This window comes from Homo sapiens, chromosome 16, assembly GCF_000001405.40.
Source record: "Homo sapiens chromosome 16, GRCh38.p14 Primary Assembly".
Classification (NCBI taxonomy): Eukaryota; Metazoa; Chordata; class Mammalia; order Primates; family Hominidae; genus Homo; species Homo sapiens.
The window spans coordinates 25,011,698-25,025,481 of NC_000016.10; the positions used below are offsets into that span (position 1 = coordinate 25,011,698).

The window sequence follows — 13,784 nt, forward strand, 5'->3', positions numbered from 1 at the left end:
CAAAAAAAAAAAAAAAGAGTGGAACCCCCAGAAGAAGCCAAATCTGCAGCCACACTACTTATTAGAGGCTCTTTTGGTCACTTATGAGCCAATCAATTCCCGTCTTTGCTATGAACTGGGTTTTCTTACAACCAAAAGAGACCTAATCAATACAAGAGATATTTGAAATAAGGGCTTGAAAATGAAGGCAGAGAAAGGTGCTCAGATTTTCTCCTCTGGGAAGCTTTTGTTACCTCCCTCAATCCAATGACAGCTGGGTTTTGCTCTGTGCATTAGCCATCCCTCTTAAGCACTTATCTCATGTATATAATTATTTTTTGCCTGCCTACCTCTTCCACGTATCTCCTGAGCTCCCTCAGGGCAGAAACCATGCCCGTATTCACCTTTGATTCTTTAATACCCTGGATAACAGGACACAGTGTAGGCTCAACAAGTGTCTGTTGAATGCATGAATCAACAAAAGGCAGGTGGACTAAAAGAACCATCCTACTTCTCTTCTTTGGGACACTCACACCATGAGACCACCTCATAAGCCTTGCCCCTGTGAGTTTCAGGCCGTCTTCTCAAATAGACTTACCCACCCATCGTAAACAAACTGCATCATGCGAACTCATTCCTTCCAGGCATTACTAATTCTCTACAAGTCCCTCCCCTGGAACCTTACAGTGAAAGTACTCAAAGGTCTCCCTTCTGAGGAGAATATCTCACTGCAAGACACCACCTAGAATTCCACAAATTGATAAACCAAAACACGATGGGCATGACATTCACATATATAACTTCCTTCTCCACCTAGATCGCAGGGGCGAAAACAAAAAAACCCTTTGCTTTGTAGCCTTCATCTTGACCTAAAAACACCCAGAATCCTGATTCTGGGGCCAACCAACCACCTACTTCCAAGCAGTAACAATTCTAGGCACTCTCCAGCCTCCGTTTATCTTCCTTAGTCCTTTCTGATTACTTAAGCAGAAAACACATACACACACACATCTAGGAAATCAACAGCAAGGAAGCAACAGGTTTCCCAGTTAAAAACAGATGTTCTGACTTTGGGTGCATAATTGCCACACCCTTAATAGTTCTGTAATAGCTTCAGCTTCCACTGGCATCTAGCAATAAAGATTTTTAAAGACAGTCAAAGGTCAGGCCCAGAATTACAGCTCCAGCATGAATCACCATCTACTCTATCCACTTCATGTTTTCCCATACTCGGGCCCACACCACCAAGGCGATCTAGTAAGAACTCAAATACCAGAATTAACAATGTCTACTGCACCCTGGCCATGGGGTAGGAACCACAGCAGACCCTGGGAATCAAAGGAGACACAGCAAGGACTCTCAAGGTATTTATCTGATGGAGAACACACACAAGAGGCAGTCACAGCACAGAAAAGCAAGTGCTACACAGGATTACAAGAACGCCCAGGAGAGGCATCCAATCTATGCTGTAGCATCATAGAAGGCCTTTCAGAGGCAGAGGGACCTTTCCCAGAAGGCTGAAGAATGAGCAAGAGGTGCCTGGAGAAAAGGTGTGGTGGGAGAGGCTTCCAGGAGTTCCAAGTAGATGCTAGCAGGTAAGAAAGCAAGACCTCCTGTGGAAACTGAAGGTAGGCAAGCATGGCCGGAATTTTAAAATGTGAAGGTGCCAGGCAAGGTGGCTCACGCTTGTAGTCCCAGAACTTTGGGAGGCCAAGGCAGGCAGATCAGTTGAGGCCAGGAGTTCGAGACCACCCTAGGCAACATGGCAAATCCCCACTCTACAAAAAATACAAAAATTAGCGGATGTGGTGGTGCCCACCTGTAGTTCCAACCACATAGGTGGCTGAGGCGAGAGGGTCGCTTGAGCCCAGGGAAGTCAAGGCTGCAATGAGACAAGATCGCACCACTGCACCCCAGCTTGGGTGACAAAGGGAGACCCTGTCTCAAAAAAAAAAAAAAGTGTGAAGGGAGAAGCCTCTAAGATGACCCAGGAGTCAAAGAGACCCTAAATAGCTTGGTAGATTTAAGTCTCAGAACTTTGTATAAAAAGAGTGAAAGTCCCTTACCTGTCACGAACAATGTAAAAACAAGCCAAACGACTATTTGACAAATGTATCTTGGCACTTACTAAATACTAGTTCCACAATGCACGTTGCTCAGAACACTAACAAGGGTACGAAACTCACAAGAAATTATCATGTGCTTGTAAACTGTTCCTTGAAACATCAGCCGCCATTACCACACGTCTACCTTCCTCTCAGCATTATTTCTTTAATTTTCCTGCAAATAACAGAAAAGTAGGTTTGTCTGGGCTTTAGGGGCAGCGATTAACCCTGAAAATAAGAGTTAATTCTCACCACAATAATACGGTAGGGAATCGAAAAAATTAAACAAGGAAACTAAGCAAAAAGATGGAGGAAATGAAACAGTAAAAAGCAAATTTAGAAAACTCGAGAGGAAGTAAAAGTATTTTCATACACTCAAAAAAAAGAAGTGTCCCACGTGCTTCAGCCAAACCAAACTCCCCTTAACTGTTAAAAACAGAAAATCAAAAGAAGAGCTGTGAGAAATTCATACTTTCGTATCTCTTTGCTGAATAAACACTAAATCGGTACAGTACAGCCAGCTGCCCTGAAAGACCTTGAAATATTAGCCCCAGATAATACAGCACATGACAGTCACCTCCAGAAACTCTCAAAAACCACAAATCATTTCTTGTTCTGACAACCTGATCTACCAACTCTGGTCTAGCCTGCCATTTAATAATCAATAACGTTTCTTGTTAAGCACTTCAACCGTAGCAAAGGAAGATAAAGAAGCATTTGTTTCCAAACCTAAGGTGAGACTTTTTAAATTGGCGCAAGGCGTCTCCATAATCCTTTTCCGCCAATTCCTAATTTCTAAATGTCAAGAACTGGCAGCAGCAGTCCAGTTCCTAGGAGCCCTGGTTTTGAGACAGCACCACCTCCGAATTCCCTCAAAGGGCGTTCTGAACTCACTGAGCAAATCCGGCTGGCTTTCATGTCCCTCTAGCCATTTCTTGCCGCCATGCACTTACAGGAGAAGGACTCGCAAACAGCGGGAGCACCGGGAAAGCCTGGGACTGCCGCCCCCCACAGCACAGCGCTCGGCACAGCGTTAGGGACAGAAGTCACCGTTGTTGAGCCCAGGGCAGCGATCCCAGCTGGCTCGGCCCCCGGGAAGGGAGGAGAAGGACCGGGTCTACTCCCCGAGGGCGATGCTCCCGGGGCAGGGACAATGGGCAGGGGACCCCGCGGTGTGGCGGAGGAGGCGGCGGCCCTCCCCTGCAGGTCTCGGGAGCCCGGCGGCGCTGAGAGACAGGCGGGCCGCCTGGAGCGCGGCGCTCGGGCCTCAGCGCGGCGCAGCCCCCGGGCCCGTGCCCCGCTGGTCTCGGGCAGGGGCTGCGGCCCAGCTCAGAGCCGCCGGACCGCGGAGGAGCCGTCCCGCCCCCGCGCCCTCCGCCCTCCGCCCCCAGCCCCGGTGCGACCCCCGTGCTGCCCGGCGCACTCGCCTGCCCACGGTCTGGTTAGCCAGCTGCTTCATGCGGTTGAACTGCTTCTTCATGGCGGCGGTGGCGGCGGCGGCCCGCGGGGCTCGGGCCGGGCAGGGCGGGGGACAGCCTGGCAGCTACTACATCGCTTCCCGGCCCAAACGGCGGCGCGGCGGTGGCTCCCCGGGCCGGCGGCCCCGCCCTCGCCTCGTCACTTCCAGTGGCACCGCCCGCCCGCCCTCTAGGTCTGGCCGAGCCGAGCTGAGCCCGAGTAGAGCCGAGTCGAACCGAGCCGAGGCTAACAGTGCCTTACCTGACACGGGCGAAGAGCTAGAAGGCCCCGGGCGAGAAGACCACTAGGCCTCCTCCGCCTGGCCTCCCCGACCCCAACGCTGCCCGGTCACCCTCTCGTTTATTTCAACGTATGAAAAGCTGTTTCTAGCAGGGCGCAGTGGTTCAACGTTGTAATCTCAGCACTTTGGGAGGCCGAGGGGGCAGATCACTTGAGCTCGGGAGTTCGAGAGCAGCCTGGCCAACACGGTGAAATCCTGTCTCTACTAACAATACAAATTTAGCTGGGCGTGGTGGTGGACGCCTGTAATCCCAGCTACTCAGGAGGCTGAAGCAGGAGAACGGCTTTTACCCGAAAGGCAGAGGTTGCAGTGAGCCGAGATGGCGCCACTGCACTCCAGCCTGGGCAACAGAGTGAGAGACCCTGTCTCGAAAAAAAAAAAAAAAAAAAAAATTAAAGTCAATGTGTGTTTTCCTTAACACACGTGCTCACACACTCATGTCTTCCTGGTTTGGTGGCCTTGGCTCCAGGTAAGCCCCTTCTTTGCATTGGATGGGCAGCAATGTGGCTTCTTTCATCAGCCACATCTCAAATGTGCTCCTAAATGTCATAGAAAAAGGAAAGAGCTCCCTAACTATGGGATAAAGGAGACTGATGCCAGTTTGGAATTCTTAATATCAAAGAATGAGGGACTTCAAGATCTTTTTAGTGACCTAGGAGAGACCTAGGAAGCATCAGAGCTTCAGATAGGGCAGCAAACTAAAAGTTATCGACATCAATTACAACAGAAAGAGGTAGAAATGAGCCTTCCTAAAACAAGAAAGCAAGCACTACAGGATCGGTTGCAGGACCGGCAGCCAGCCCTGGAGTCAGCACATTCAGGGAAGGCCGGAGGTTCCCATCCACACTGCATCCCCTCCATTCCATGTGGTACCCATCATGCTTCAGTGTTCCACGACGCTTACATGGGTTTTTATGACATAATTTCATCATAACAAGAAATAAACAGATAGTCCAATGAAGTTCTAAAACTTGAGTCTCCAGTTGGCCATTGGAAATGTATTGCTCAGACTTATAAAATAGGAGGAACAACTAGTTTTGATGAAAATGAAATCTACAAACTACAAACACCAAATATTAATATCATCAAGGAGCTCAAACAAAAAAGAAGTCAGGATACTGATGACCATCAGCTTGAATTATCAGTATTACAGAATGTTCATCAACAGAAATTGAGGGAAATAAGTTGTAAGCATCAAGAAAATCTAAGCAATTAGGAAGAAAAGATTGAAGAACTGGAAAATTTGTTACAGCAAGGTGGCTCAGGAATTACAGTACATGATCTCTCTAAACTTCAAGAGAAGGAAAACACTATTCATGCAAGCTCTACAAATTGAAAAAGTAGAGTCTACCAAAAAATTGAAGAATTTGAACATAGAGTAAAAGACAAATAAAAAATTATCTTCTGGGGCCAGGTGCAGTGGCTCACACCTGTAATCCTAGCACTTTGGGAGGTCAAGATGGGAAGATCACTTGAGCTCAGGAGTATGAGACTAGCCTGGACAACATACTAAAACCTCATCTCTATGAAAAATTTAAAAAAAAAAAAAAGGCCAGAAGCAGTGGCATGCACCTGTACTCCCAACTAGTTGAAAGGCTGAGGCAACAGGATCATTTGAGCCCAGGAATTTGAGGCTGCAGTGAGCTATTATCACACCATTGCACTCTTGTCTGGGTGACAGAGTGAGACCCCTAGCTGAAAAGAGGCTATTGGAAGAAACAACTCTGAGAAAACCATGAAAAGATTGTCCACTGAAGCTAACCTGGAGAGCTCTGCCTTACAGCTAGAGCAAGAGTGTGTAATTAAACTCAGCCACGAGAAAGACTCTGAAATGTCAGCACTCAAAAAGAATATTGAGGCTGGGTGCAATGCATCACACCTGTAATCCCAGCACTTTGGGAGGTCGAGGTAGGTGGATCACCTGAGGTCAGGAGTTCAAGACCAGCCTGGCCAACATGGTGAAACCCAGTCTCTACTAAAAATACAAAAATTAGTCAGGCGTGGTGGCGGGCGCCTGTAATCCCAGCTGCTGGGGAAGCTGAGACGAGACAATCGCTTGAACCTTGGAGGCAGAGGTTGCAGTGAGCTGAGATCTGGCCTCTGCAGGGTGGTCCAGCCTAGGTGACAGGGTGGTCCAGTCAAGGTGACAGAGACAACGTGACAAGGTTACTGTCTCAAAAAAAAAAAAAGAATATTAAACAGATGGACACTGACCATAAAGAAACTAAAGAAAAAGTGCTCCTAAATTTACTCCAAGAGATTGAAGAGCTAAGAAAATCGCTGCAGGAAAAAGATGCAACCATTAGATCCCTCCAAGAAGACAATCAGAGACTGATTTGATTTTGTCATCTAGTTGAGAAGAGCAGAAGCAATTGACACAACTTATAAGAGAGAAAGCAATTTTTTTAAAAAAAAACTTAAAGGAAGTTCAGAGCTTCCAGAGGAATTATTATACTAAAACCTTAAGAAAGAAAGAAAGAAATTTCATAGCAAACCATAGAGGAAAAAGACAGATGTCTTGCATCCATGAAAGAAAAAAAAATCTGATAGAAGAATTGAAATGACTCAGAGGACAACAAAGTCTAACTGCCCCTGTGGCTGAGCCTAGAATGGTAGATACTATTATGGTACTAGAATTGGAGATATTTCAAATGAAAATAATCAAAGGTAATCTTGAGGAGGGAATAAAGTATCATCAAAATATATTTGAAGGTTGGGCATGGTGACTCATGCCTATAATCCCAGCACTTTGGGAGGCCAAAATCACTTGAGGCCAGGAGTTCAAGAAATCACTTGAACTTTGGGAGGCCAAAATCACTTGAGGCCAGGAGTTCAAGACCGGCCTGGCCAACATGGTGAAACCCTGTCTCTACTAAAAATAAAATTAGCCAGGTGCGGTGGAAGTGCCTGTAGTCCCAGCTACTCTGGAGGCTGAGGCAGGAGAATCGCTTGAACCCAGGAGGTAGAGGTTGCAGTGAGCCAAGATCGCACCACTGTACTCCAGCCTGGGCAACAGAAGAAGAATCCGTCAAAAAAAACAAAAACAAAAACAAAAAAGACTGAAGAGGCCAGGCACAGCGGCTCACGTCTGTAATCCCAGCACTTTGGGAGGCCGAGGTGAGTAGATCATCTGGGGTCAGGAGTTTGAGACCAGCCTGGCCAACATGGCAAAACCTTGTCTCCACTAAAAATACAAAAATTAGCCGGGTGTGGTGGTGGGTGCCTGTAATCCCAGCTACTCAAGAGGCTGAGGCAGGAGAATTGTTTGAACCCAGGAGGCACAGGTTGCAGTGAGCCAGGATTGTGCCACTACACTCCAGCCTGGCCGACAGAGCAAGATTCTGTCTCAAAAATAAATAAATAAATAACCATAATTGAAGAGCAAACACAGAGTAAGATGCAACTGCTTCAGTCTTTAAAAGAGGAGAAAAAAGTAGGAAATGGATGATTTTTAAAACCAGCACAAGCAAATGAGTATCACATACACCCAGCTCTTTTCAGTAAAAGGTGAAGAAATTAGGAATTTGCAAAACACAATAGGAAAAGAATCAAAACCCAGCTGCATGAAACAGGACAAGACATTAAAAGACTCTGAGCCATTTTTCAAGCAACAGAAGTTGAATGTCCCAATATAGAAAGCAGAAGTGAAACGCATAGTTTATTTAAATCTGAAACTGAAAGATTAGTGAAAGGAATGAAAGAGCAAGAATTGGAGATTAATCCTGAATCAAGGACCAGAGGGGGAAAGAAAGAATTGGAGAATAAATTTATAAGTAAAAATAATATGACTTTAAACAGATGGATCAGCTGTCCATCAATGGGGTTGGTCAGGAAGATACAGAGGTGCAGGGCCTTCAGGCTAGAACAGCTTCAGCCTCTGACACCCAGGGCGTTGCTCACCTTCAGCAGCAACTGCAAGCACCTGCTTTGGACAGAGAACAAATACAGGCTGTTTGGAATAAGGCAGCTCAAGAAAATAGCTGTCTCAAAAAGGAAGATCACCAAACAATGGATATTATTGCTGGTAATGAAACAGGCCCCCATAAGCTGCAAGAGGAAAATAAAAAACTGTCCACTAGTAATGGTCAGGAGAAATTTAAAGACACTTTTCAGAAGTCATCATGTCTCATTCTAGAAAAAGACATTGAAACAGATGCATTAAGTCAGGAATGTCAAACTTTAGTGACAATTTTGCAAGCATCCAGCACTGGTCATGAGATTGGAGGTGTTAATGGTAATCCGTTTGAGGAGCTTCCACAAGGACCTAATAAATTAAAACAGCCAGTTAAGAAAATGGAAGTGTGGGCCGGGCGTGGTAGCTCATGCCTGTAATCCCAGCCCTTTGGGAGGCCGAGGCGGGCGGATCACCTGAGGTCAGGAGTTTGAGACCAGCCTGGCCAATATGGCAAAACCCCATCTCTACTAAAAATACAAAAAAAAATTAGCCGGGCGTGGTGGCGGGTGCCTGGGAGGCTGAGGCAGGAGAATTGCTTGAACCTGGGAGGCGGAGGTTGCAGTGAGCTGAGATCGCACTATTGCACTCAAGCCTGGGCGACAAAAGTGAAACTCCATCTCAAAAAGAAAGAGAGAGAGAGAGAGAGAGAGAAAGAAAGACAGAGACAGACAGAAATAAAGAAAGGAAGGAAGGACGGAAGGAAGGAAGGAAGGAAGGAAGGAAGGAAGGAAGGAAGAAAGAAAGAAAAAAATGGAAAGAGCAGCTGGCGACCACAGTGGGTGCAGCATGGGGCAGCCCAACTCCAAGAAGAACTTTGTCACCTTCAAGCAAAGCTTTTAACTGACAGTGATAATGATTTTAAACTCCAGATGAACTGTAGTGACCTGATGCAAAAAAACGAAGGGAATGAAACTCAACTCAAAAACCTGGGGCAGGAGTTAGCACACACGCAGCACAGCATCAGACAGCTCTGTCACGGCAAGGACAGTTTCTTCCCACAGCTGGATATTTTACCCCAGCTCCCCAGAGAAGCACTTTCTTCACATGCCGCAGAATCTCCTCACGCAAGTGAGTCTGCTCTGTCGAGTGAGTCTTCTAAATTGCTCCAAGATATTGAAGAGCTAAGAAAATCACTGCAGGAAAAAGATGCAACCATTAGATCCCTCCAAGGAGACAATCAGAGACTGTCTGATTCCACTGCTGCCATCTCAGAGCTAGAAAGAAAAGAACATATATAAATGCATTCAGAAATTCAGCAGCTGAAGGAGAAACAAAATGTCTTAGACAGGTTACTTAGGGGAAAAAACCTTTTCATCAAAGCCAAAAGTAGTAAATTACATTCTTAGAGAGAAAATCTCACTAATAAATGAATAAAAATGAGCTTTTGAGGCAGGCAGTCAGAAACCTGAAGGAGAGAATATCAATTTTAGAAATGCATATGGGTAAACTAAAACAGGACAATGAAAAAGTAGTAGAAACATCCAGGGGGGAAAAAAAACAGGCCAGGTGCAGTGGCTCACGCCTGTAATCCCAGCACTTTGGGAGGTCAAGGCGGGTGGATCATGAGGTCAGGAGTTCAAGACCAGCCTGGCCAAGATGGTGAAACGCCCATCTCTATGAAAAATACAAAAATTAGCCAAGCGTGGTGGGAGGCACCTGTAGTCCCAGCTACTCAGGAGGCTGAGGCAGGAGAACCACTTGAACCTGGGGCGGGGGGGCGGAGGTTCCAGTGAGCTGAGATCGTGCCACTGCACTCCAGCCTGGATGACAGAGTGAGAAGACTCCGTCTCAAAATATATATATATATATATACGCGTATATATATATATATATATATATATATACACGCGTATATATATATATATGCGTATATATATATATATATGCGTATATATATATATATATATATATATATACACACGTATATATATATGTATATATCAGCCATTACAAGAGATTAATATGCCAGGTGTGGTGGCTCATGCCTATAATACTAGCACTTTGGGAGGCTGAGGCAGGCAGGTCACACTTGAGCCCAGATGTTCAAGACCAGCCTAGGCAACATAGGAAGACCTTGTCTCTCTATACAAAATTTAAAAAATTAGCTGGGCATGGTAGCATGCGTCTGTAGCCCCAGCTGCTTTGGAAGTGAGGAGGCAGAATCGCTTAAGCCCAGGAGTTCAAGACTGCAGTGAGCTATGATGACGACAATATATTCCAGCCTGGATGACAGCGCGAGACTCTGTTTCAAAAAACAAACAAAAAAAAAGTTACAGTATTGGAGGTAAATCTAGTTTCTTCTGCAAATCAAATGAAAAATGCAAGCCAGGAAGCAAGGTTGCAGGTGAAATCATTAAATGAAAAACTGAATATGGGCCAGGTGCATTGACTCACACCTGTAATCCCAGCACTTTGGGAGGCTGAGGTGGGCGGATCACTTGAGGTCAGGATTTCCAGACCAGCCTGGCCAACATGCTGAAACCCCATCTCTACTTGAAAAAAAAAAAAAAATTATGTGGGCATGGTGGTGGGCGTCTGTAATCCCAGCTACTCAGGAGGCTGAGGTGGGAGAATCACTTGAGCCTGGGAGGCAGAGGTTGCAGTGAGCGGAGATCGTACCACTGCACTCCAGCCTGGGCAACAAAGCGAGACTTCGTCTCAAATAAATAAATAAAAATATACAACAAAGTTTAGGAAACACACCAGCTTTCATACCCAGAGGAACAGATGCCAATCCCTGTTCCTCTGCTGTGTCACTTATGAGGCTGACTGGACTAGGACCGGGTGGGTCAGGGCATGTTCTATAAAATGCTGCTGCAGAGGTTTTGCCCACATGTGCACCTCTGCTGACTTCACCTGGCCAGAGGGCAGGAGCTGGGCTGAAAGGCTGTCAAAGCAATGGATGATTCTCAGAGACTAGGAAAGATCAAGCCATGCTGTGTATCTACTTTATCATTAAGTAGCCTTTAGGAAATAGTCATTTATTTGTTCTCAGTTTTGCTCTCTTTAATTTTTTTTTTTTTTTTTTTTTTGAGACAGGGTCTTACTCTATCACCCAGGCTGGCATGCAGTGGCGAGATCTCAGCTCACTGCAACCTCCACCTCCCAGGGTCAAGCAATTCTCTCACCTCAGCCTCCTGAGTAGCTGGGATTACAGGCGCCCACCACCATGCCCAGCTAATTTTTGTACTTTTAGTAGAAATGAGGTTTTGCCATTTTGGCCAGGCTGGTCTCAAACACCTGGCCTCAAGTGATCCGCCCACCTTGGCCTCCCAAAGTGCTGGGATTACAGGTGTGAGCCATTGCACTCAGCTTCTTTAAATTTAATAAAAATATTCTTAATGATTTTAAGTGTCTTTGAAGGGCTGTAAAGGTATTCACCCAACTTTAAACTGTGATTACTTCTTGTGAAGGTGGGTATTGGTGACATTGGAGGTTGTGGTCAAAGGATACTTCAGGTAGGGTTTATAATGCTTTTATTTTTTTGCAAGAAACAGGTATTTGTGTATATGTTGGTTAATTAAAATATTAATTTGTGGCCAGGCACGATGGCTCACGCCTGTAATCCCAGCACCACTTCGGGAGGCTGAGGCAGAAGGATTCCTTGACCCTAGGAGTTCAAGACCAGCCTGGGCAACATAGTGAGATCTCGTCTCTACAAATAATAATTTAAAAAATTAGCTGTGCGTGGTGACATATGCCTGTAGTCCCAGCTACTCCAGAGGCTGAGGCAGAGGATCCCTTGAGTCCAGGAGGTCGAGGCTGCAGTGAGCTGTGATCATGCCACTGCACGCCAGCCTGGGCAACAGAGCAAGACCATGTCTCAAAAAAAAAAGAAAAAATATATATATATTAGTGTTAAGGATCAACTATTAGAAACACCATAGGTGTATACTCCTTACGTAAGAAAAAAGATGAACAGCACAAAAGTACAAGTTGTATAACATTTTAAAAATTAAAGTTCCCTTTTTTGGCTACGACTCACTCTCCTTTCCATTGCCTAGAAAACCACCTTATTGTTTACTTGTTTGTTTGGTTTTTTTTTGATTTTTTTAAAAAAGTGCATATTTGTATATATGTCAGTGTATTATTCTCTGATTTGCTTTCTATTTATTCTTATTTTATTATCATCATCATTATTATTTTGAGACAGAGTTTTGCTGTGTCGCCCAGGCTAGATTGCGGTGACGCGATCATGGCTCACCGCAGGCTCAACATTGCAGGCCCAAGCAATCCTCCCACCTCAACCTCCCAAGTAGATGGGACCACAGGCATGTGCCACCACGCCCTGCTAATTTTTTTATTTTTTTGAAGAGATGAGGTCTTCCTATGTTGCCTAGGCTGGTCTCATACTTCTGAACTCAAGCAATCCTCCCACCTCGGCCCCCTCAAAGTGCTGGGATTATAGGCATCAGCCACTGTGCCAGCTGCTTTCTGGGGAAAAAAAAAAAAAAAAAAATATATATATATATATATATATATATACACACACACACACATACATATATACGTATATATACATATTAAAAAAGTGCATATTTGCATATATGTCAGTGTATTCTCTGATTTGCTTTCTATTTATTCTTATTTTATTATGTATGTATTATGTATACACATACATACACATATATACACATATACACACACACACAAATATATATATCTCACTACATCTTGGACATCTTTCCAGATTCTGTGAATGATTTCATCATCATCTTTCTTTTTTTAGAGACAGGGTCGGTCTCTGTCATCCAGACTGGAGTGTAGTGGCACATCATAGCCTATGGCAACCTCAAACTACCAGGTTCAAATATTCCTCCTGCCTCGGCCTCCCAAAGTGCTGGGATTACAAGCATAGCCACCAGATCGGGCCATCTTATTTTTTCTTTTCTTTTCTTTTTTTTTTTTTTTTTTTAGATGGAGTCTTGCTCTGTCGCCCAGGCTGGAGTGCAGTGGCACGATCTCGGCTCACTGCAAGCTCTGCCTCCCAGGTTCACGCCATTCTCCTGCCTCAGCCTCCCGAGTAGCTGGGATTACAGGCGCCCACCACCAGGGCCGGCTAATTTTTTTTTTTTCAGTATTTTTAGTAGAGACAGGGTTTCACCGTGTTAGCTAGGATGGTCTCGATCTCCTGACCTCATGATCTGCCTTCCTCGGCCTCCCAACGTGCTGGGATTACAGGCGTGAGCCACCACGCCTGACCCAGGCCATCTTATTCTTTCTAAAAGCAGATGTTCATCCTATGCATATACTGTAATTTATTTAACTAGCTCCTATTCGTCAGCATTTGTTTGTGCCCCAAATCCTAGGAAATGTTCATGGGCAACTCCCTTGTTTATTTCCTCAAGGGCCTCTCCAAATCTTTATCACTTTGCTCAGGCATGATCATGCCTTATTAAGACATTAGAGACCAGCAGTCAAGACCCCCATACCCCCTTCCTGTATCCCACCATCCTCTCTTCATTCATCTATACTCCTTCCCTTTTGTTTCAGAGGAAAGGGATCCAGCTTTGCAATTGAAGGCTAACAGTCCCCTGGACATTATCTATTCAGACTTCTTCAAAGACCTCATTCTACTGATCTCCCATTCTGCTTTGTCTTTCATCTGTCTCTATCCCTAAGCACACAAGCATGGCTGTTTCTCCTGATACATCACATTCTCCTTTCAGCTCCTCCAGCAACCAACCACCGTATCTCTCTATCTTTCTATCTTCTGAAAGAATTCTTTACTCTTTATAAGTGTCTCATTTTGTAATGACTTCTTTTTGAAAGTTCTACAAAATCTTGTCTCATTTATGCCCCAGGAATCTTCTCATGGCTAAATCCAATGTATATATATTTTTGTCTTTGGTTCACTTAAGTCTGATAAATATTAACCACATGTTCCACATACTCATTCTTTAAATTCTTTTTTTTTTTTTATTGAGACGGAGTCTCACTCTGTTGCCCAGGCTGGAGTGCAGTGGCGTGATCTCGGCTCACTGCA

General features: G+C 45.0%; 1 protein-coding gene and 1 pseudogene across 18 annotated transcripts in view, besides 8 other annotated features; one reads left to right on the forward strand and one right to left on the reverse strand.

The window, feature by feature from the left end:
- ARHGAP17 (Rho GTPase activating protein 17) overlaps positions 1-3,672 on the reverse strand; it is a 95,981-nt gene extending 92,309 nt beyond the window's left edge. For 13 of the 18 annotated variants that reach the window (XR_950809.3, NM_018054.6, XM_047434318.1 and 10 more), the window contains exon 1: positions 3,512-3,672. Coding sequence is in view for 16 of the 18 variants with exons in the window: in NM_018054.6 (NP_060524.4) it covers positions 3,512-3,564 (53 nt within the window). In the remaining 2 variants the exon portion in view is untranslated. Of the gene's footprint in view, positions 1-2,165; positions 2,932-2,978; positions 3,182-3,511 lie in introns of those variants that run through there. The other 5 variants (XM_047434315.1, XM_047434311.1, XM_047434312.1 and 2 more) reach the window with 5 other exon arrangements.
- Positions 2,560-3,228: an enhancer, noted in NCBI's record as "H3K27ac hESC enhancer chr16:25025578-25026246 (GRCh37/hg19 assembly coordinates)". NCBI's record gives its function as "activates a minimal SCP1, AML or CMV promoter by ChIP-STARR-seq in primed H9 embryonic stem cells {active_cell/tissue: H9 hESC(primed)}" and the evidence as "EXISTENCE:reporter gene assay evidence [ECO:0000049][PMID:30033119]".
- Positions 3,211-3,260: a silencer, noted in NCBI's record as "silent region_7289". NCBI's record gives its function as "represses an Ori minimal core promoter by ATAC-STARR-seq in GM12878 lymphoblastoid cells {active_cell/tissue: GM12878}" and the evidence as "EXISTENCE:reporter gene assay evidence [ECO:0000049][PMID:35858748]".
- Positions 3,211-3,897: a biological region, named in NCBI's record as "H3K27ac hESC enhancer GRCh37_chr16:25026247-25026915".
- Positions 3,229-3,897: an enhancer, noted in NCBI's record as "H3K27ac hESC enhancer chr16:25026247-25026915 (GRCh37/hg19 assembly coordinates)". NCBI's record gives its function as "activates a minimal SCP1, AML or CMV promoter by ChIP-STARR-seq in primed H9 embryonic stem cells {active_cell/tissue: H9 hESC(primed)}" and the evidence as "EXISTENCE:reporter gene assay evidence [ECO:0000049][PMID:30033119]".
- Positions 3,321-3,370: a silencer, noted in NCBI's record as "silent region_7290". NCBI's record gives its function as "represses an Ori minimal core promoter by ATAC-STARR-seq in GM12878 lymphoblastoid cells {active_cell/tissue: GM12878}" and the evidence as "EXISTENCE:reporter gene assay evidence [ECO:0000049][PMID:35858748]".
- Positions 3,431-3,480: a silencer, noted in NCBI's record as "silent region_7291". NCBI's record gives its function as "represses an Ori minimal core promoter by ATAC-STARR-seq in GM12878 lymphoblastoid cells {active_cell/tissue: GM12878}" and the evidence as "EXISTENCE:reporter gene assay evidence [ECO:0000049][PMID:35858748]".
- Positions 3,561-3,810: a silencer, noted in NCBI's record as "silent region_7292". NCBI's record gives its function as "represses an Ori minimal core promoter by ATAC-STARR-seq in GM12878 lymphoblastoid cells {active_cell/tissue: GM12878}" and the evidence as "EXISTENCE:reporter gene assay evidence [ECO:0000049][PMID:35858748]".
- On the forward strand, positions 4,281-10,683 carry LOC100421171 (thyroid hormone receptor interactor 11 pseudogene; annotated as a pseudogene).
- Positions 10,978-11,149: a silencer, noted in NCBI's record as "fragment chr16:25033996-25034167 (GRCh37/hg19 assembly coordinates)". NCBI's record gives its function as "represses an EF-1alpha promoter that drives an FKBP-Casp9 reporter gene in an ReSE screen in K562 erythroleukemia cells {active_cell/tissue: K562}" and the evidence as "EXISTENCE:reporter gene assay evidence [ECO:0000049][PMID:32094911]".